Source organism: Homo sapiens, chromosome 11 (assembly GCF_000001405.40).
Source record: "Homo sapiens chromosome 11, GRCh38.p14 Primary Assembly".
NCBI classification, from domain to species: Eukaryota; Metazoa; Chordata; class Mammalia; order Primates; family Hominidae; genus Homo; species Homo sapiens.
Genome location: NC_000011.10, coordinates 14,773,939 through 14,795,088, shown reverse-complemented (window position 1 = coordinate 14,795,088; position 21,150 = coordinate 14,773,939). Strand labels below are relative to the sequence as shown.

At 37.1% G+C, this 21,150-nt stretch overlaps 1 protein-coding gene across 11 annotated transcripts in view, besides 1 other annotated feature; it reads right to left on the bottom strand.

The window, feature by feature from the left end:
* Nucleotides 1-21,150, bottom strand: part of PDE3B (phosphodiesterase 3B) — a 255,518-nt gene that overhangs the window by 104,233 nt on the left and 130,135 nt on the right. For 8 of the 11 annotated variants that reach the window (NR_190763.1, NR_190766.1, NR_190765.1 and 5 more), the window contains 2 exons: nucleotides 8,404-8,652; nucleotides 5,847-5,983 (listed from right to left, as the gene is read on the bottom strand). Coding sequence is in view for 7 of the 11 variants with exons in the window: in NM_001429700.1 (NP_001416629.1) it covers nucleotides 5,847-5,983; nucleotides 8,404-8,652 (386 nt within the window). In the remaining 4 variants the exon portion in view is untranslated. Of the gene's footprint in view, nucleotides 1-5,846; nucleotides 5,984-8,403; nucleotides 8,653-19,272; nucleotides 19,507-21,150 lie in introns of all 11 variants that reach the window. The other 3 variants (NM_001363570.2, NM_001363569.2, NR_190764.1) reach the window with 3 other exon arrangements.
* Nucleotides 16,947-17,447: an enhancer, noted in NCBI's record as "H3K4me1 hESC enhancer chr11:14799188-14799688 (GRCh37/hg19 assembly coordinates)". NCBI's record gives its function as "activates a minimal SCP1, AML or CMV promoter by ChIP-STARR-seq in primed H9 embryonic stem cells {active_cell/tissue: H9 hESC(primed)}" and the evidence as "EXISTENCE:reporter gene assay evidence [ECO:0000049][PMID:30033119]".

Sequence of the window (21,150 nt, the reverse complement as noted above, 5' to 3'; positions counted from 1 at the left end):
TCATGCCTATAAAATGAAGCTCCTATAAAAATCCAGAAAGGACTGGGTCTGAGGAGCTTGTGAATAGCCAAACACGTGGGGGCTTCCAGGAAAGTGAACAAGAACATGTCCACAAGCAAGGAAGGTGGTATACTCCAACTCCACAGGGGCAGAAGCTCCTGTACTCAGGCCCCTTCCAGACCTGTCCTTTGTATCTCCTCATCTGGCTGTTGATTTGTATCCTTTAAAATATTATTTGTAATAAGCCAGTAAACATGCTTCCTTGAGTTCTGTGAGCTGCTCTAGCAAATTACCTGAACCCAGGGAGGGGGCTGTGGGAACCCTGATTTACAGCTGGTTGGTCAGAAGCACAGGCAAAATAACCTGAGGCTTGCTATTGGCATCAGAAGTGGAGATCAGTCTTGTCGGACTGAGTCCTTAACCAGTATGATCTGACGCTATCTCCAGGTAGATGGTGTCAGAAATAATGGAATTAGGCTGGGCATGGTGTCTCATGCCTGTAATCCCAGCACTTTGGGAGGCCGAGGCAGGCAGATCACCTGAGGTCAGGAGTTCGAGACCAGCCTGGCCAACATGGTGAAACCCCGTCTCTACTAAAAATACAAAAATTAGCTGGGCATGGTGGCATGTGCCTGTAGTCCCAACTACTCAGGAGGTTGAGGAAGAATTGCTTGATCCCAGGAGGCAGAGACTGCAGTGGGCAGAGATCGTGCCACTGCACTCCAGCCTGGGCAACAGAGTGAGACTCTGTCTCAAAAAAAAAAAAAAAGAAAAGAAAAAGAAATAATTGAATTATAGGACACCTAGCTTATGTCTACTACAGAATTGCTTGCTTGCCTGCTTGCTTGCTCGCTTGCTTGCTGGTGGGGAGAAATCCCCACACATCTGGTATCAGAAATGTGCTGTCAGAGTATGGTGGAAGAAATTGAGTTTGTTTTTCTTTTTCTACTCACTTGGGAATGAGTTGTCAAAAGCAAACGAACAAGAGACGTCAAAAGTTATGGTCCCTGAGCTAAGCTATATTTTAAGAGCTGACTTCTAGACAGTCAATACAAATTACCTTAACAAGGTCTGTACCAACTCAGTTTCAATGCAGTTGTATAAACTTGATAACTGTAGATGTCTAAATTTACAGAGTTATTCTCTTAAGAAGCTGAGTAGGATGACACAATTAGCCCTCTTGAATTGCTGGGGTTCAAATAGGGTCAAGTTTGCTAATATAACCTTGGTGTAAGTCTCTGATAAATTATAAGGCACAGAATTTAACATACATACTATTGCCAGGCAACGAGTTATTAGATTTCATTACACAGTAGCGGTGAAGATAAATGGTGACTCATGGGTTTAAAAGCAAGTCTCTTTAGTGTAGGAGGTAACTATAATTGATAGCCCACAGGGTAATTGAACACAACTTGCCTATTTTTTTCCCCAGGGAAAACCTGTTCAAAAAGAGTGACCTGTGAGCCCTGAATATATGCTGTTTGACCTCAGAGAAGGCTGGGTCCCATCACTCAGTTCAAAAATAGCAGTTCAGTCTTCTTTTAACTCTAAGTATAGGTTGAGCATCCCAAATCCAAAATGCTCCAAAATTCAAAATTTCTTGAGTATAAACATGACTCTGCAAATGGAAAATTCCACACTTGACCACATGAGATGGGTCACAGTTAAAATATAGTCAAAACTTTGTTTCACGCATAAAATTATTTAAAATATTATATAAAATCACGTTCAGGCTATGTGTATATGAAATATAAATGAATATTGGGTTGTATCCCCAAGATACAACATTATGCATAGGCAAATATTCCAAAACCTGAAATCTGAAACACTTCTGGTCCCAAGACTTTCAGATAAGGGATATTCAACCTGTACTAAAACTAGAACTCAGAGATGGGTAATTTTATCATCAGCAAATCCAGAAAACAACCTTTCCTGGAACTTTCTGACCACAGAAATCTCATCCCAGATCTGAAACTTAAGCAGAAGGCAAGATTAAGGGTCATAATCTCATATGGATACCATACCTCTGCAGGACACTTGTTAAGCAGCCATTTGTCTTCAAAGATTCATTTTAATGCAATCTCGAACTCTTTACAGAACTTAAACAGGCTTTAGAGGAGTAGTAATGGCTGACATAAAGTCAAATGTGAAAAGCGCCGTAAGAGAATGTGTTATGGAAATTCAGAGGAAGAAAAGAGTACTTCTCCTTGGAGAAGGGAGAAGGACCTCCAGGTGTTATCCTTATAAGGTGATTTATGAGCCCAACTAAGGATATACAGAACTGAAGTTGAGATCTATTCCAGTTAAATTGCTTTTTAAATTAAAAGGGTGCACAGATGGACAGAGAGAAGATCAAATAGTTCAGCTTGACTAGAATTTCAGAAGACTAGAGGAAGGTGATGTTGGAAACATATTTTGGTGTTGTAAAGGAATGGCCTCCTTAATTAGTAAAATCTCAAGTCCTCTAACAGATGAACAATAATAAACTCTTAACAATAAGAACAGGGTCGCTGTTCAATGGGGGACTAACTCTTCTTCCCTGTGGTTTTCTTTCTTCTGATTATTTTTATCATAGCTCCCAGGGTTATAATACTTAATTTTTTTCTCTAGGCAAAGCATGAATAAAAGCAAAATTAAATCCTGTATTATTCTTTACACAAATAGGGTATTACTTTTTATCCAAATACCTTATATATATTTCATTGTTTGTATTTTAATTATTTTGAAACATAATTTAGCTTAATTTTCAAATGGTGTTAAACCAAGAACAAAATTACCAGAAAACATCAAGGAAGAGTCTTAAACAAGTTACATGCCTACTGTTTTTACCTAGAAAGCTTTCCATATCATTTTTCTATTCTCATTATTTGAAAGACTGCTCATCTGTGTTAGTTCATTTACTTTTTCCAAGTAAGGGCTGCAGCTCTGTCATGAGGTAATAATTGGGTTTCACATTCTACACTAGGAATTTGGGCGTTATTCTATAGGACTGGTAAAGAGTCCAAAAATGCAATGACTAGACAAACTATACATAGTCAGCTCTCTGTATGTGAGGTTTCTACATCCACAGATTTAACCAACCCCAAATCAAAAATATTCAAGGAAAAAAAACACAGTAATAAAAAAATACAAGTAAAAAATAGAGTATAACAACTCTTTACATAGCATTTACATTGCCTTAGGTATTATAAATAATCTGGAGGTGATTTAAAGTACATGAAAGGATGTGTAGAGAGAATATGTAAATACTACACCATTTTATATAAAGGACTCAAGCATCCATGGATTTTTGTACCCATGGGAAGGGGAGGGGCCTGGAACCAATCCCCCAGGGATAACCAGGGACAACTGCAATCACAGTTTTATTTAAGGAAGATTTCTAGTGTAAGGTGGAAGATTAATAAAGTCAAGAAGGATACTGGAAACTGGAATTAAGAGGCTAATTCAATAGCCCAAGTAAGTAGTAATGAAAGCATAAAATAGTATAGGCACAGTGATAAAGGAGAAGAATAGAGAGTAAAAGATAATGCAGACAGATATCTGACAACTGTTATCTGTAGAATAAGGTAACAGGATGCAAAGATAACACCAAGTCTCTAAGTAAATCAATTTTGTAAGCAACCACTCCACTAGAGGATAGCAGCATTGTGCGGGGAAATAAGGGCAGAACAATAGTAACAGACAAAAAAGCAGCTGGAATGATGAGAAACCTGGTATCAGGCATAGGCTCAGGAAATGAGAGGTTCAACACCGGAATCATGCTGAAATCAGTCAGGCAAACTGTGATCAGAATCCAAAGCTCAAGACTCAAAATCAAGGATATGAGATCTCGATTCTGGAGTACTATAATATAAAGTCAAGATGATTTCAGAGTCATAAGTCTATGAGTTTTGTGCTACTAAAGTCTAAAGATTCCTGAACAAAACATCACTACGCATTAAAGATCTAGAGCTGCACTAATATGGATGTCACATATGTCTACAAAACAGTCACATATGGCTCTTTATATCTGAATGAAATTAATAAGAATTAAATCACATTTAAAAGTCAGTTCCTTAGTCATGCTAGACACATTTCAAATGATTAACAGTCACATGTAGCTAGGGAGTACCATATTAGACAGTGCAGATATAAACTATTTCCATCATTGCAAAAATTTCTATTAGACAGCACTGATCCAGAGATTTGAATCTGAAAAGGAATAGTGGTTGTAAATGTTTCATATATTCCCATCGTAACCCACCTATGTGCAAAGTACACATAGACATTTATTACCAAGAGGCTCCAGCTTCTGCAAACTAGAAAAGATACATCTAGCCTGGTCTCTTTAAAATAGACGTACATAATACCACCAATTAATTTATTCTCCAAATTTCTAAATATTTTATGAGGCATAAATTTTGTTTTAATGAGTTAAGTCACTACATAGAATCTACCTACATTTAGCTTTATATAATAAACACTTTTCAGAGTTAAAGATTAGTTTTCTCTGAACTATGTTTCTATTGTAATCAATTATCTGAGGCAGCAGGATAAAAATGACCTTAACTCAATGTATCAAATGTTTCTTTAACTGCAAATGCATTGCTGTTACATCAGTATGAAAGGTTAAAATATAAAACATTTTTATCATACCTTTTAAAACCCAACTATATTCTCAAGATAATGCTACCCATAGTTAAGAAATACTGTCACATTTTCTGTTCCTAACATCATTCACTTCCCTATATCCTGCTTCCTTTACAAAAAAAAAAAAAAGACTATGATGTTCAGGCCATGGCAAATTTTGGACCAATGCTCATTTTCCTGTACAGTACTCTTCATACTTCAATCCATTCCTGTTTTAGACATCACTTCATTCAATTTTTCTTTTACAAAAAAGGAGTTCACCTGCTTGAATATATTATACAAGATTCAAATTAATAAACCACCTAAGAATCTAGAAAATTATAATCATCTAATTATCTGTTAACATAAACTTTAACAAATAGCTATGATCCAATCCTGCCATCTACTGTTTCAAATGTGAAACTATACAGCTCAAAAGTATAAAACATGCTCAGTAATACCAGAAAATGGTTAACACAGAATTTGTGCCAATTCCAATATTATATTAACATAATTAGAAAGCTGAGTAAAGAAAAAACTTATGACAAACTCACACAAGGATCAGTATCCTTCCTGGCTTTCAAAAGACAAAGTACTGTATTATTAAATCCTTTGTTATCAGGGTAAATGTATATATTTACATTCGGGAGATTTCAGCTCCTGCATTTTCCCAGCCTCATTTACTTAAAGTTACTGATGCCTTTCATTTATAAGATTAGCATTGTTCAGTTCCAAGTAAATCCTCAACAGAATATAGAATATATTAGTTGTCTCAACCTCCAGCAGGAACAGGATTTGAAAGTCTGGTTACCTTAAACCTAACAATTGTGATGAGCCTTGGAAACGTGCTCCTCTTTTCAGAAGTCAGTAATTCTGCAGACCTACCTTTGGATACTATTCATTGGATTGGTGGCTAACCCTGTAATGGCCACTTCTATCGATTTAAAAACTTCCCCAGCATCCAGTCCTGAGTTGATCCTGATTTCCCTAAACTATCTCATGTTCTCAGGGATCCAGCACATTTTGTACCCAGCCTATCAAAGTTTTAGGACAAGACACATTAGCTTCTCTTTAATAATCAGTTTCTCTATTTTACCATATTATTACTACACATGTTGTCCTATACCTAAAATACTTCAACCATTCCTTTCTGCTTCCAGAACTATTTGAAACATTATTGACAGAAACAAAGTAGATGCATTTGATTCAAGTTTCTTAAAAGGCTCTGCAGATTTTACCTTGAAATGCCAAATTCTTGGTGAGGTCTTTTGCCATTATTACGATCCCACCTTGAAGACTGTTCAACAGGTAGCAATCCTGAAGTTCCTGAGCTTCTCCTCAGCTGTGGAGTTGGCAAACTATTCCTATTTAGTCCCTGTTGAATAATTTAACAATGGTTTAAAATGTCACTCTTTAATATGCTATATATGTAATATTAGTGATGGCACATGAAAGTATCAATACAAAGTATATTTTTAACATGTACAGAGAAAAAAGAAACATTTTATTCTGAAAATCTGTCAATTTACTCCAAATTTCACACTCTATTTTGTTATTCTATTCCTCTTCCTCCTACTAAAAAATATGTCTGAACTCTATAATTTAAGCTAGATTCTTTTTCTTTTGTACATTTTACTACTTGTTTCATAAGAAACAATCGGCAATTTAAAAAGTGGATATGAAAGATTTACCCTGAAAATCAACTTCAGAGGACAATCTTAGGATCAGGGATGATCAGCCCTATATTCTAAATTTTTTATATTTTCAGTACAGTGCTATAGAATTTACTTAGCTGTTAATCAGGAGAAACTGCAGGATTCTGGGTTTGAATAAATGACTGAGTTAAATACAGAACACCTTTAGCATTAATATTTTGCCCTAATTTTAAAAAATATTCTCAACTAACCCAAATGTTCAATTACCAATATTCCATTTTTGACCATTATAAATAAGTGTTTTACTGAGATTTACATAATAGTTTCTGCTTCTTATGAATTTCCTCTATCAGCAGACACTGCAGCAATCTCAGAGATAAGTATCTGTCTTATATTTCAGTTTTCCCAAGGACACTGATTTTGTAAAGGTTAATAGTTAATTAGACCTGCAGTGAAAAAGTCCTTTATGTTAATATCCTTGTTGAGTGTCATTTAGGTTCATATGATCTTTCTTTGTTCTTAATGTGTATAAGATAGTTATATCAAGTTGTCTGTTCCTTTTCCCTTTTGCCTATTGTTTTTTCAATAAATGCCTTTGCCCTTTTCTGAAGTAACAACAGGCTTTTTATATGCTTTTCCAAAAGGAGAGACAAATTCGATATAGAGTTCTAATAACGAGTTTAAAGAACACAAAGAAAAGGAATAAGGGTTACTTCCTGGTTCTTATATGACTTACTCTATCAGTAGATTCCAGAACCCAAAATAACCTTCCTTGATTAACTACAATGCTCAGGAAATGAGGCATTTAGGCATCCTGTTTAATTAATATTATGTTTAAAATATTCCTAAAATGTACCAGTACACTTTTCTACACACTAAATACTGATATCAATATGATTTCTGATTAAAAATTTTAAGAATTACTATTTTTAAAAATTACTATCCTGAGTATCAAATATCAACAGAAAATGCAAAGAAAGAGTAACATATAGAGTGAAAACTAACTCAAGAATACATTAGAGTTATTTTATTTATGGTTTATTGCTATGCCCTCTGAATGCTTGTGATTAACCTCTTTCTTATAAGATAGAGTGCTAAAAAGGAAGTCATGTAACTAAGTACTAATTAATTGGGTTTTGACTAATGTAGGTGCTACTGCATAAACTTTAAAAAAATAAAAGTATCACATAACAATGATCCAGATTGTGATCAATACTTCTGAAATCCTTTTCCTCTAACTGGGTTTGCTTAACTTTTCAACATTTCTAAACCCTAATGCTGACAACTGATAAAATTAACTGATGATCAAAATCCCTACAAAAACTATATTTACCTATTTCTAAGTTCTATAAGCATTATTACAATTGACAAAATTAACTGAAATAAATTTTGTCTTCTCTTGGTTAGTTTCCTTATCTGGAATAAAGTGGTTGAGTAAAATAATTTCTACAATGTTTCTAGTTTTAAAGTTTTATGATTTTAGCTATTGGCAAAGATACTGATAATAGTCAAATAAAACAAGTAAAAGCACTCTGAACAAGGATAATGCATACCCATTTAGAACAGTATTTATTATTTTCTAAAGAAAATCCTATTTTGAAATATTTATATTTTAAAGAGAAATTAATCCTCTATTCTAATGATATAAAAATCAATGCCTACTGGGCTACAGTAATCTTCAGTAGGTGTAAAAGGGGGAAAACAGGGTTCAAAAAACTTAAAAATCATTTTAAAATAATTCTATGTAATTCATAAAATGAATATGATAATGACCATTTCTTCTTGGCTCAACAAGAACAATTCCTAGATTCTAAAGAATAAAATAGAGCAATAACGTGATCTGACTACTAGTTTGTTGTACAAGCCTGGAACAAAATTTGCTTGCTGTTCTCTACTTCTTAACAAGAATAATAATACATAGTTGTTATAAGTGCTAATCACAGCAATGTATTTAAAATAAAAACTGAATACTCAACTATAATTATTTGAGCTTATAATTGCCTCTAACATCCCAAGCAGCTCAATATTATGTCTGATCCTTGAAACGAAAATTGTATTCTATATAGAATTTAAAGGAGCAGTTAATTTGAAAATATCATTAAATTTGATAAATAGGGTTAGATGATTACTGTATTTCGACCTTGTTAAGTTTTCTATCCCCTTTCTCAGCTGGGTCCTCTATTTCAGAACAGGGGTAAAATCCAGGAAATGGTGTGAGAGGATTAATCTTTGGCCTACAGGAACCTGAGAAAGCACCCATTAAGCTACTAATACTCCGTAGAGAGGAAATGACTTGTGGTGGAAGGCTTGGATCAGTCAGAAGATCTGACACCATATTGCGAGCCTCATTTAGCACTGAAAGATCAACTCCATTTCCACCTCCAGAATTCTAGAAAGAAAAAAAGTGAAATTTTCATTCATTTGTACATGGCATAAATGATATAACAAATGGTATAATTCTAACTTAAAATTTATATATATATATATGTAGCAAATAACCGTGAACTTTAATTTTTTTCTTTTTCGCTAGCTGATTATCACATTATATTTAATGGTATTAACTACTAACACTGAATTACCTTATGACTAGTATAAAACGAAATCTGTATTTACTTTAAAGTCTGTAATTTGAACATTTCATTAATTCATTATTTCCTTTCCTTTATAACAAAATTTTAAACATACAAAGCATTTATTTCATTTACCTTACTCACTTTAGAGGCAGTCTAACACAGTGACAAGGTTTTGTAGCAAACATACCTGAATTTGAAACCTAAACTTTAATCTTACCTGTGTGACCTTGAGTAATTTACTTAACCTCTGAATATTTTAGTTTCTTCAATGTAAAATCAGGATAGTAATGTCTACCTTATTATGGGCTAATATGAGAAATCTGATAATATATGTAAAGCAAATAAAGCAGTGTATAATGTATGATTTAAAGCACAAAAAGTATTATTACTATTAATATTATGGAAAATGATGAGATAAAAATAAAGAAAAATATGTTATAGTTCAAAAGAGATAGCGATAACTTAAAGATGAATAATTAACAAAAACCTCACAGACAGGGTAGCATCAGGCAAGGCCTTAAAAAATTGGTAGAAAAAAATTTTTTAATTTAGAAGAAATATGTCACCGATGTAAACATGAGATGATTTTTACTCTCTGAAAAAACATACATATGATGTTCAACTCGATTACCCATAGAAATAAATGGACTAGTAATCAGAACAGTAAATTAAATGTTACTTTTGTTTTTTGTTGTTGTTGTTGTACCTTGAACTTACATTTGGGTATGTTTGCAATTAATAATTATTCAAATTAATGAGTTCACAACAAAACTGTTTATTAAAGTATCCCCAATACATTTTGGAACTGAGAAATATTATGAACATTACACCAAGCTAGCTAAATAATGTCTGCTCTTTGCGGAATTTTTTTTCTTATGAAGTGTTAATATGTATTAGTTTTCACTTTAAAACATTTCCTGATACCAGGGCATAGCCCAACTATTTCTAGCCTTTCTCCCCTGCAAATACCACTAAAATAAACACCTGTCTATATATGTTACTGTGAACAATTAAGCATATTTCCTATACACAGCTTCCCATAATCTGAATTGCTGAATGCAAATTAACATGTTAAAATAAGGTCATTCCTCTAAAACTGCCTTAGAATATGTTGATCAAATCTACACTTCTAATTGTATATAACAGCACCTATTTTTCCATATCCCATTACAATTAGCAACTATGAATTTAATTAATCCCTATCTGATAGGCAAAAAAACCTCTAATTGCTGTTTTAATCTGAATTCTCTGATTATTGTGATTCTAAATGTTCCTTATAATATTTACATATTCAAATGGAACACACACAAAAACAATTTTTGTTTGCAAGTAACCTTTCCTCAATACTGTTTAAAAACTGTTGAAATTAGGAAAGAACAAATCACAAATTTACTGAGAGTACAGTGTGACTTTCACTTTAACAATACAAGGTAATTAGAATCTACTCATAAATATCTCCAATGACAACAGGAATACCTCATGTAAAAAAAAATCATTTTCATAGACAAATCTTTTTTTCATGGTCAATTTTTACTTTTCTTCATATTGTATCCTTTTAAGGTAAATACTTCTGTCAGGCCATAAGTTTGCTGTTTTATTATTTGTTTTGTGTTTGTTTCTTCTGTTCCTTGTTCCTCTGTTTTTTCTTGCTTTTCTGGGGTTATTAGAATATTTTTATGATTCCATCTTGATTAATTTATAGAGTTTCTGAGTGTATTACTATATAAAGTTTTCTTAGCGGTTGCCCTTGGCAATACAATGTACATATGTGACTTATCACCGTCTACTGGTATCAACATTTTACCACTTTGAGTGAAGTGTGAAAACCTTACTACTAGTTAGGTCTCTACCTTGCTTACTTTTAAGTATAATTGTCTTGTCTTGAGTATCAGATGATGTTATAATTTTTGTTGCAATCATCAAATATGATTCATGAAACTCACAAGAAGGATAGTCTATTGCATTCTCCCACTATTTCTTCCTGTTTCATTGTTCTTTCTTCCTTCCTGTTACTTCAAGAGTCCTTCTTTTATAATTTCCTTTCTGTTTAAAGCAGGGGTTCCCTAACCTTTTTGGCATCAGGGACAGGTTTCGTGGAACACAATTTTTCCACAGACTGGGTAGGGGTGCGAGGAGATGGTTTCAGAATGAAACTGTTCACCACAGATCATCAGGCCTTAGATTCTCATAAGGAGCGTACAACCCCAAATCCCTTGCATGTGCAGTTCACCATAGGATTTGTGCTCCTATGAGAATCTAATGTGGTGGCTGATCTGACAAGAGGCAGAGCTCAGGTGGTAATGCTCATCTGCCCACTGCTCATCTCCGGCTATGTGGCCCAGTTCCTAACAGGCCACAGACCGGTACTGGTTGGTGACGCCTGGTTTAAAGAACTTCCTTTTGTCTTTCTTGCAAGGTAAATCTCTTACTGACAGATTCTTTTGTTTTCCTTCATTTCACAATGTTTTCCCCTTCATTCTTTTTTTTTATTATTATATTTTGTGTTCTAGGGTACATGTGCACAATGTGCAGGTTTGTTACATATGTATACATGTGCCATGCTGGTGTGCTGCACCCATCAACTCCTCATTTACATCAGGTATATCTCCCAATGCTAGCTATCCCTCCCCACTCCCCCACCCCACTACAAGCCCCGGTGTGTGATGTTCCCCTTCCTGTGTCCAAGTGTTCTCACTATCCAATTCCCACCTATGAGTAAGAACATGCGGTGTTTGGTTTTCTGTCCTTGCGATAGCTTGCTCAGAATGATGGTTTCCAGCTTCATCCATGTCCCTACAAAGGACATGAACTCATCCATTTTTATGGCTGCATAGTATTCCATGGTGTATATGTACCACTTTTTCTTAATCCAGTCTATCACTGATGGACATCTGGGTTGGTTCCAAGTCTTTGCTATTGTGAATAGTGCCGCAATAAACATACATGTGCATGTGTCTTTATAGCAGCATGATTTATCATCCTTTGGGTATATACCCAGTAATGGGATGGCTGGGTCAAATGGTATTTCTAGTTCCAGATCCTTCAGCAATCACCATACTGTCTTCCACAATGGTTGAACTAGTTTACAGTCCCACCAACAGTGTAAAAGTGTTCCTATTTCTCTACATCCTCTCCAGCACCTGTTGTTCCCTGACTTTTTAATGATCACCATTCTAACTGGTGTGAGATGGTATCTCATTGTGGTTTTGATTTGCATTTCTCTGATGGCCAGTGATGATGAGCATTCAAGTGTCTGTTGGCTGCATAAATGTCTTCTTTCGAGAAGTGTCTGTTCATATCCTTTGCTCACTTTTTGATGGGGTTGTTTGATTTTTTTCTTGTAAATTTGTTTAAGTTCCTTGTAGATTCTGGATATTAGCCCTTTTGTCAGATGGATAGAGTGCGAAAATTTTCTCCCATTCTGTAGGTTGCCTGTTCATTCTGATGGTAGTTTCTTTTGCTGTGCAGAAGCTCTTTAGTTTAATTAGATCCCATTTGTCAACTTTGGCTTTTGTTGCCATTGCTTTTGGTGTTTTAGCCATGAAGTCCTTGCCCATGCCTATGTCTTGAATGGTATTGCCTAGGTTTTCTTCTAGGGTTTTTACGGTTTTAGGTCTAACGTTTAAGTCTTTAATCCATCTTGAATTAATTTTTGTATAAGGTGTAAGTAAGGGATCCAGTTAAAGCTTTCTACATATGGCTAGCCAGTTTTCTCAATACCATTTATTAAATAGGCAATCCTTTCCCTATTTCTTGTTTTTATCAGGTTTGTCAAAGACTGGATGGTTGTGGATGTGTGGTACTATTTCTGAGGACTCTGTTCTGTTCCATTGGTCTATATCTCTGTTTTGGTACCAGTACCATGCTGTTTTGGTTACTGTAGGCTTGCAGTATAGTTTGAAGTCAGATAGCATGATGCCTCCAGCTTTGTTCTTTTGGCTTAGGATTGTCTTGGCAATGTGGGCTCTTTTTTGGTTCCACATGAACTTTCAAGTAGTTTTTTCCAATTCTGTGAAGAAAGTCAATGCTAGCTTGTTGGGGATGGCATTGAATCTATAAATGACTTTGGGCAGTATTGTCACTTGTTTGTGTCCTCTTTTACTTCGTTGAGCAGTGGTTTGTAGTTCTCCTTGAAGAGGTCCTTCACATCCCTCACAAGTTGGATTCCTAGGTATTTTATTCTCTTTGAAGCCATCATGAATGGGAGTTCACTCATGATTTGGCTGTTTGTCTGTTAATGGTGTATAAGAATGCTTGTGATTTCTGCACATTGCTTTTGTATCCTGAGACTTTGCTGAAGTTGCTTATCAGCTTAAGGAGATTTGGGGCTGACATGATGGGGTTTTCTAGATATACAATCATGTCATCTGCAAACAGGGACAATTTGACTTCCTCTTTTCCTAACTGAATACCTTTTATTTCTTTCTCCTGCCTGACTGCCCTGACCAGAACTTCCAACACTATGTTGAACAGGAGTGGTGAGAGAGAGGCACCCCTGTCTTGTGCTGTTTTTCAAAGGGAATGCTTCCAGTTTTTGCCCATTCAGTATGATATTGGCTGTGGGTTTGTCATACATAGCTCTTATTATTTTGAGATACATCCCATCAATACCTAATTTATTGAGAGTTTTTAGCATGAAGGGCTGCTGAATTTTGTCAAAGGCCTTTTCTGCATCTATTGAGATAATCATGTGGTTTTTGTCTTTGGTTCTCTTTATATCATGGATTACATTTATTGATTTGTGTATGTTGAACCAGCCTTGCATCCCAGGGATGAAGCGCACTTGATCATGGTGGATAAGCTTTTTGATGTGCTGCTGGATTCGGTTTGCCAGTATTTTATTCAGGATTTTTGCATCGATGTTCATCAGGGATACTGGTCTAAAATTATTTTTTGTTGTGTCTCTGGCAGGCTTTGGTATCAGGATGCTGCTGGCCTCATAAAATCAGTTAGGGAGGATTCCCTCTTTTTCTATTGATTGGAATAGTTTCAGAAGGAACAGTACCAGCTCCTCTTTGTACCTCTGGTAGAATTCAGCTGTGACTCCGTCTGGTCCTGGACTTTTTTTGGTTGGTAGGCTCTTAATTATTGCCTCAATTTCACAGCCTGTTATTAGTCTATTCAGAAATTCAACTTCTTCCTGTTTAGTCTTGGGAGGGTGTATGTGTCGAGGAATTTATCCATTTCTTCTAGATTTTCTAGTTTATTTGCTTAGGGGTGTTTACAGTATTCTCAGATGGTAGTTTGTATCTCTGTAGGATTGGTGGTGATATCCCCTTTATCATTTTTCATTACGTCTATTTGATTCTTCTCTTTTCTTCTTTATTAGTCTTGCTAGCAGTCTATCAATTTTGTTGATCTTCTCAGAAAACCAGCTCCTGGATTCATTGATTTTTTGAAGGGTTTTTTGTGTCTCTATCTCCTTCAGTTCTGCTCTGATCTTAGTTATTTCTTGCCTTCTGCTAGCTTTTGAATGTGTTTGCTCTTGCTTCTCTTGTTCTTTTAATTGTGATATTAGGGTGTCAATTTTAGATCTTTCCTGCTTTCTCTTGTGGGCATTTAGTGCTATAAATTTCCCTCTACACACTACTTTAAATGTGTCCCAGAGATTCTGGTATGTTGTGTCTTTGTTCTCGTTGGTTTCACAGACCATCTTTATTTCTGCCTTCATTTTGTTATTTACCCATTAGTCACTCAGGAGCAGGTTGTTCAGTTTCCATGTACTTGAGTGGTTTTTAGTGAGTTTCTTAATCCTGAGTTCCAGTTTGACTGCACTGTGGTCTGAGAGACAGTTTGTTATAATTTCTGTTCTTTTACATTTGCTGAGGAGTGCTTTACTTCCAACTATGTGGTCAATTTTGGAATAAGTGCAATGTGGTGCTGAGAAGAATGTATATTCTGTTGATTTGGGGTGGAGTGTTCTGTAGATGTCTATTAGGTTCGCTTGGTGCAGAGCTGAGTTAACTTCTTGGATATCCTTGTGAACTTTCTGTCTCACTGATCTGTCTAATGTTGACAGTGGGGTGTTAAAGTCTCCCATTATTATTGTGTGGGAGTCTAAGTCTCTTTGTAGGTCTCTAAGGACTTGCTTTATGAATCTGGGTGCTCCTATATTGGGTGCATATATATTTAGGATAGTTAGCTCTTCTTGTTGAATTGATCCCTTTACCATTATATAATGGCCTTGTCTCTTCTGATCTTTGTTGGTTTAAAGTCTGTTTTATCAGAGACTAGGATTGCAACCCCTGCTTTTTTTTTTTTTTTCCATTTGCTTGGTAGATCTTCCTCCATCCCTTTATTTTGAGCCTATGCGTGTCTCTGCACGTGAGATGGGTCTCCTGAATACAGCACACTGATGGGTCTTTACTCTATCCAATTTGCCAGTCTGTGTCTTTTAATTGGAGCATTTAATCCATTTACATTTAAGGTTAATATTGTTATGTGTGAATTTGATCCTGTCATTATGATGTTAGCTGGTTATTTTGCTTGTTACTTGGTGCAGTTTCTTCCTAGCATCGATGGTCTTTACAATTTGGCATGTTTTTGCAGTGGCTGGTAGCAGTTGTTCCTTTCCATGTTTAGTGCTTCCTTCAGGAGCTCTTGTAAGGCAGGCCTGGTGGTGACAAAATCTCTCAGCATTTGCTTGTCTGTAAAGGATTTTATTTCTCCTTCACTTATGAAGCTTAGTTGGGATGGATATGAAATTCTGGGTTGAAAATTCTTTTGTTGAAGAGTACTGAATATTGGACCCCACTCTCTCCTGGCTTGTAGAGTTTCTGCCGAGAGATCCGCTGTTAGTCTGATGGGCTTCCCTTTGTGGGTAACCCGACCTTTCTCTCTGGCTGCCCTTAACATTTTTTCCTTTATTTCAACTTTGGTGAATCTGACAATTATGTGTTTTGGAGTTGCTCTTCTCGAGGAGTATCTTTGTGGTGTTCTCTGTATTTCCTGAATTTGAATGTTGGCCTTCCTTGCTAGGTTGGGGAAGTTCTCCTGGATAATATCCTGAAGAGTGTTTTCCAACTTGGTTCCATTCTCCCCGTCACTTTCAGGTACACCCATCAGACGTAGATTTGGTCTTTTCATATAGTCCCATATTTCTTGGAGGCTTTGCTCATTTCTTTCTTTTTTCTCTAAATTTCTCTTCTCGCTTCATTTCATTCATCTGATCTTCAATCACTGACACCCTTTCTTCTACTTGATCGAATCGGCTACTGAAGCTTGTGCATGTGTCACGCAGTTCTCATGCCATGGTGTTCAGCTCCAACAGGTCATTTAAAGTCTTCTATACACTGTTTATTTTAGTTAGCCATTCGTCTAATCTTTTTTCAAGGTTTTTGGCTTCTTTGCGATGGGTTCGAACATTCTCCTTCAGCTCACAGAAGTTTGTTATTACCAATCATCTGAAGCCTTCTTCTCTCAACTCGTCAAAGTCATTCTCCGTCCAGCTTTGTTCCATTGCTGGCGAGGAGCTGCGTTCCTTTGGAGGAGAAGGGGCACTCTGATTTTTAGAATTTTCAGCTTTTCTGCTCTGGTTTCTCCCCATCTTTGTGGTTTTATCTACCTTTGGTCTTTGATGATGGTGACGTCAGACGGGGTTCTGGTGTGAATGTTCTTTCTGTTTGTTAGTTTTCCTTCTAACAGTCAGGAACCTCAGCTGCAGGTCTGTTGGAGTTTGCTGGAGGTCCACTCCAGACACTCTTTGCCTGGATATCACCAGTGCAGACTGCAGAACTGCAAATATTGCAGAAAGGCAAATGTTGCTGCCTGATCGTTCCTCTGGAAGCTTCGTCTCAGAGGGGCGCCCGGCCGTATGAGGCGTCAGTCAGCCCCTACTGGGAGATGCCTCCCAGTTAGGCTACTCGGGGGTCAGGGACCCTCTTGAGGAGGCAGTCTGTCCATTCTTAGATCTCAAACTCCGTGCTGGGAGAACCACTCCTCTCTTCAACGCTGTCAGACAGGGACATTTAAGTCTGCAGAAGTTTTTGCTGCCTTTCGTTCAGCTATGCCCTGCCCCCAGAGGTGGAGTCTACAGAGGCCGGCAGGACTCCTTGAGCTGTGGTGGGCTCCACCCATTTTGAGCTTCAGGGCTGCTTTGTTTACCTACTCAAGCCTCAGCAATGGTGGGCACCCCTCCCCCAGCCTCGCTGCTGCTTTGCAGTTCCATCTTAGACTGCTGTGCTAGCAATGAGCGAGGTTCCGTGGGTGTGGAACCCCCCGAGCCAGGCACAGGACATAATCTCCTGGTGTGCCGTTTGCTAAGACCGTTGGAAAAGCGCAGTATTAGGTGGAAAAGCGCAGTGGGAGTTGCCCGATTTTCCAGGTGCCGTCTGTCATGGCTTCCCTTGGCTAGGAAAAAGAATTCCCCGACCCCTTGCGCTTCCCAGGTGAGGTGATGCCTCACCCTGCTTTGGCTCACAGTCCATGGGTTGCACCTACTGTCCTGCATCCATGTCTGACAAGCCCCAGAGAGATGAACCCAGTACCTCATTTGGAAATGCAGAAATCACCCATCTTCTGCATCACTCATGCTGGGAGCTGTAGACTGGAGCTGTTCCTATTCAGCCATCTTGGAACCTCCTCCCCTTCATTCTTAAAGAATACTTTTGCTGGATATAGACTTTACAGCCATTTTCTTCCACCTCTTCAAAAGTGTTCTGCCACTTCCTTCTGGGCTTCATGGTTTTAAATGAGAAATCTGCTATTACTTGAATTGGTGTTCCCCTATAGGTTATGTGTTGTTTCTCTCTGGATGCTTTTTAAGATATTTTCTTTGTCTTTAGCTTTCATAAGTTTAATTATGACATGTCTGAGAGTAGATTTTGAGGGGGTTGATACTATTTGGGGTTCAGAAAGCTTCTTGAATCTGTAGGATTAAGTTTTTGGCTAAATCTGGGAAGTTTTCAGCCATTACTTCTTCAGATACTCTTTCAATGCCACCCCCTTTCTCCTTCTCAAACACGAGCAATACAAATGTTGGTTCTTTGTTACTTCCCAATAGGTCCCTAAGGCTTGCTGATTTTGTTTCTGTTTCCTCTATGTTGTAAAATTGGCTAAATTCTATTGATCTATGCTTAAGCTCACAGATTCTATCCTACTGTCATCTCCACTGTTATTCATCCCATCCAGTAATTTTAAATTTCTATTATTGTATTTTTCAGCTCTATACTTTCCATTTGTTTCTTCTTTATAATTTATATTTCTTTTGCTAATATTTTCTTTCTTTTTCCATTTGTTTCAAGATACTTTGTAATTATTTGTTAGAGCATTTTTATGATGTTTGCTTTAAAAATCCTTGCCAGATAATTCCAAATCTGATTCATCTTAGTGTTGTCATTCCTTTTTCTTATTCAAGTTGTGATTTTCTTGGTTTTGGTATGATGGGTGATTTTTTATTTTATCCTCAATATTTTCACTATAACTTACAAGACTCTGGGTCCTACAGAAATCTTTGCCATTAGAAGGCATATCCCCATTTAGGTTTATCACACAGGTCCTGGCCTACTTTTGTGGGCTGTGGTTTGGATGACAATTTTCAAAGCATTCACAATCATTTAGGTGTGTCTGAATTTTTTTTTCTTTTTTTTTTATTATTACTATTATTATTATTATTTTTTAATTATACTTTAAGTTTTAGGGTACATGTGCACATTGTGCAGGTTAGTTACATATGTATACATGTGCCATGCTGGTGCGCTGCACCCACTAACTCGTCATCTAGCATTTGGTGCCCGTTGGGTTCCCACTAGTCCACAGTCCACACTGGTGCCTTACAGTAGGGGGAAAGAGAGCTTCCTCAGGTTGGGTCATCTGGTACCTTTAGGGGAGAGAAAGGAGTCTCCAGGTGACAGGAACAAAGATCACTTTCTGGGCTAGGCATTTGTGAGGACATCCCCCTTGCCAGGCACACTGGCCACCCAGTGTCTGTCAGTGGGGAAGGGGAGTCTCATGCCCAGGAGGGAAGGAGAATGCTTCTCCCTGGTCACTGATTGCCAGTGGTTCCAAATCAATTCCCCCTTGCTAGAGCCACCAGACTTGCCTAGTGTTGGCAGGGCTCTTGTTTAATCTGGGGAAAGAATAAGCCTACCTGTGTCACCTTATGTTGCTAGGTTGAGAGTGGGGGCCTAGACCAGGTTTGCTGTTGGGTGTGGGTCATAAGAGACTCTGTCACTGTGTTGTTTTTCCTGTACTAGGGTCCCTAGCCAGTCTGCCTTCCTCTTTCTATTTTTTGTAGTTCTCACTTGATTGCCTCTTACATTATTTCCAGACTTAATAACTGTACTTAGCAAGGAGGAAAAGAGAGAGTTACATATGGTAACACATGCAGAGCATATAAAGTATAGTATATATAACTAAAGGCAAAGATAGTACTGTTATTATTAACAGAAAGTGAAGAGATAAAAATACAGACAAAATGGCCAAGTGTGGTCTCTTACCCCTGTAATCCCAGCACTTTGGGAGGCCGAGGTGGGCAGATCACCTGAGGTCGGGAGTTCAAGACCAGCCTGACCAACATGGAGAAATCCCATCTCTACTAAAAATACAAAATTAGCCAGGTGTGGTGGCACATGCCTGTAATCCCAGCTACTCCGGAGGCTGAGGCAGGAGAATCGCTTGAACCAGGGAGCTGGAGGTTGCGGTGAGCCGAGATCATGCCACTGCACTCCAGCCTGGGCAACAAGAGAGAAACTTCGTCTCAAAAAAAGAAAAAAATTATATATACAGACAAAATGGCATTAGCGTTCAAAAGAGATATAGAAACCTTCCATTTGGATGGTAACAGAAATTTTATGGAAGGGGTAGCATTTGAGCTGGGCCCTAAAAATTTGGTAGGATTATATTTATATTTGTTTACAATAAAACAAAACAAAAATGTATTGGGGAAGTGTACTGCACAAAATGGACACAGCATAAATAAAAGTATAAAAGTGGTAAAATACAATTTTTAAGTGGTAAAATAATGCTATACAGGGAATATGAAATTGTTGAAGTACAGATTATATAAGAAAGCAATGAAAAACAGGTTGGAAAGACATGTTGGGACCAAATTTTTGAGAACACTGGATTCCAAGCTAAGTAATATGAGTAATAAAGGGTCGTATATAATAGATTTTGAACAAGCTGCTAAAAAGAGAAAATAAAGTAAGTTAAGGGAAAAAGATGTGATAGAACGCAATGCAATTTTAGAGAGGATAGTTGGGGTATGCCTCACTAAGAAGGAAATGCTTATGTAAAGACATGACAAAGTGTGGGAAATAAGCATCCCAGGCAGAGAGACTAGCAAGTGCAAAGACCTGAGTCAGAAGCCTGTCTGACTTGTTTGGGGAATAACAAGGAGGCCAGTGCAGCTGGAACAGAGTAAATGAAGGAGAAAGTAGTAGAAGACAAAGACAGAGAAGTACAAGAGAGTAAGGGAGGGAACCATGTTGTGTAAGTTCTTTTACGTACATGACAAAGACTTTTACACTGGGTGAAACGAGAGAAATGAGCAAGAGAGTGACATGATAACTTATGGCAGATCAAATTGAATATTCAAATTATTTGCCACAATTTTAAAAGCTGAACTTAAATTCCTATTTTCCATTCACTTATATTTAGCAAAATCTTGATTGTTGAACAGAAAGTTAAGAATAGTTTTTATGTTTTAAATGGTTATTGAAAAAGAAGAGGAGTGGGAGGGAGAAGAGGACAAAGGAGGCAATGAGAAGCACTGGGGACGGCAAAAGGTAGCAATGGTCATATGTTTCCAGCAAATGCTAAAATACTTACTCTCTGGCCTTTTAAAGAAAAAAATGCTCATTCCTGTCTTATACTTCAAGTTCAGATTAGTATTTATTACTATTGAAATTTATATAATATTGGCCCACATTTGTATTAAGTACCAGGCACATATTAATTAGCCCTTTGAGGGAACTGGTATTATTCTCAATTTGTAGGTGAGGGAATAGGTTCAGAGTGTCTTAAGAGGCTTGCCTAATTTTCCAGCTAAGAGGGACTGGTTTGTATCAGACCAACTCTTCTGTCTAGAACAACTAGAAAAGCTGAAATAAAATATAAATAGCATACATTTCAAGGCATCAAAACACAACCAAACAGCCAGGGCATAAAAGGCCAAGAACCCAGAATTAAGAGAAAAGATTAAAAGAAATCCAACATTCTGTGCTACTCTTTTCCCTCTAGGAATTTTCTGCTGATTCATAACTGGCACAGAGCAGAGAGGATGAGAAGCACAAAAGAGGCCAGAAAACAGAGTAGAGATCTATAGTCCCAAGGGGCTGGGAGACCGAAATTGGAGTTCAGAGCTATGAAGACAG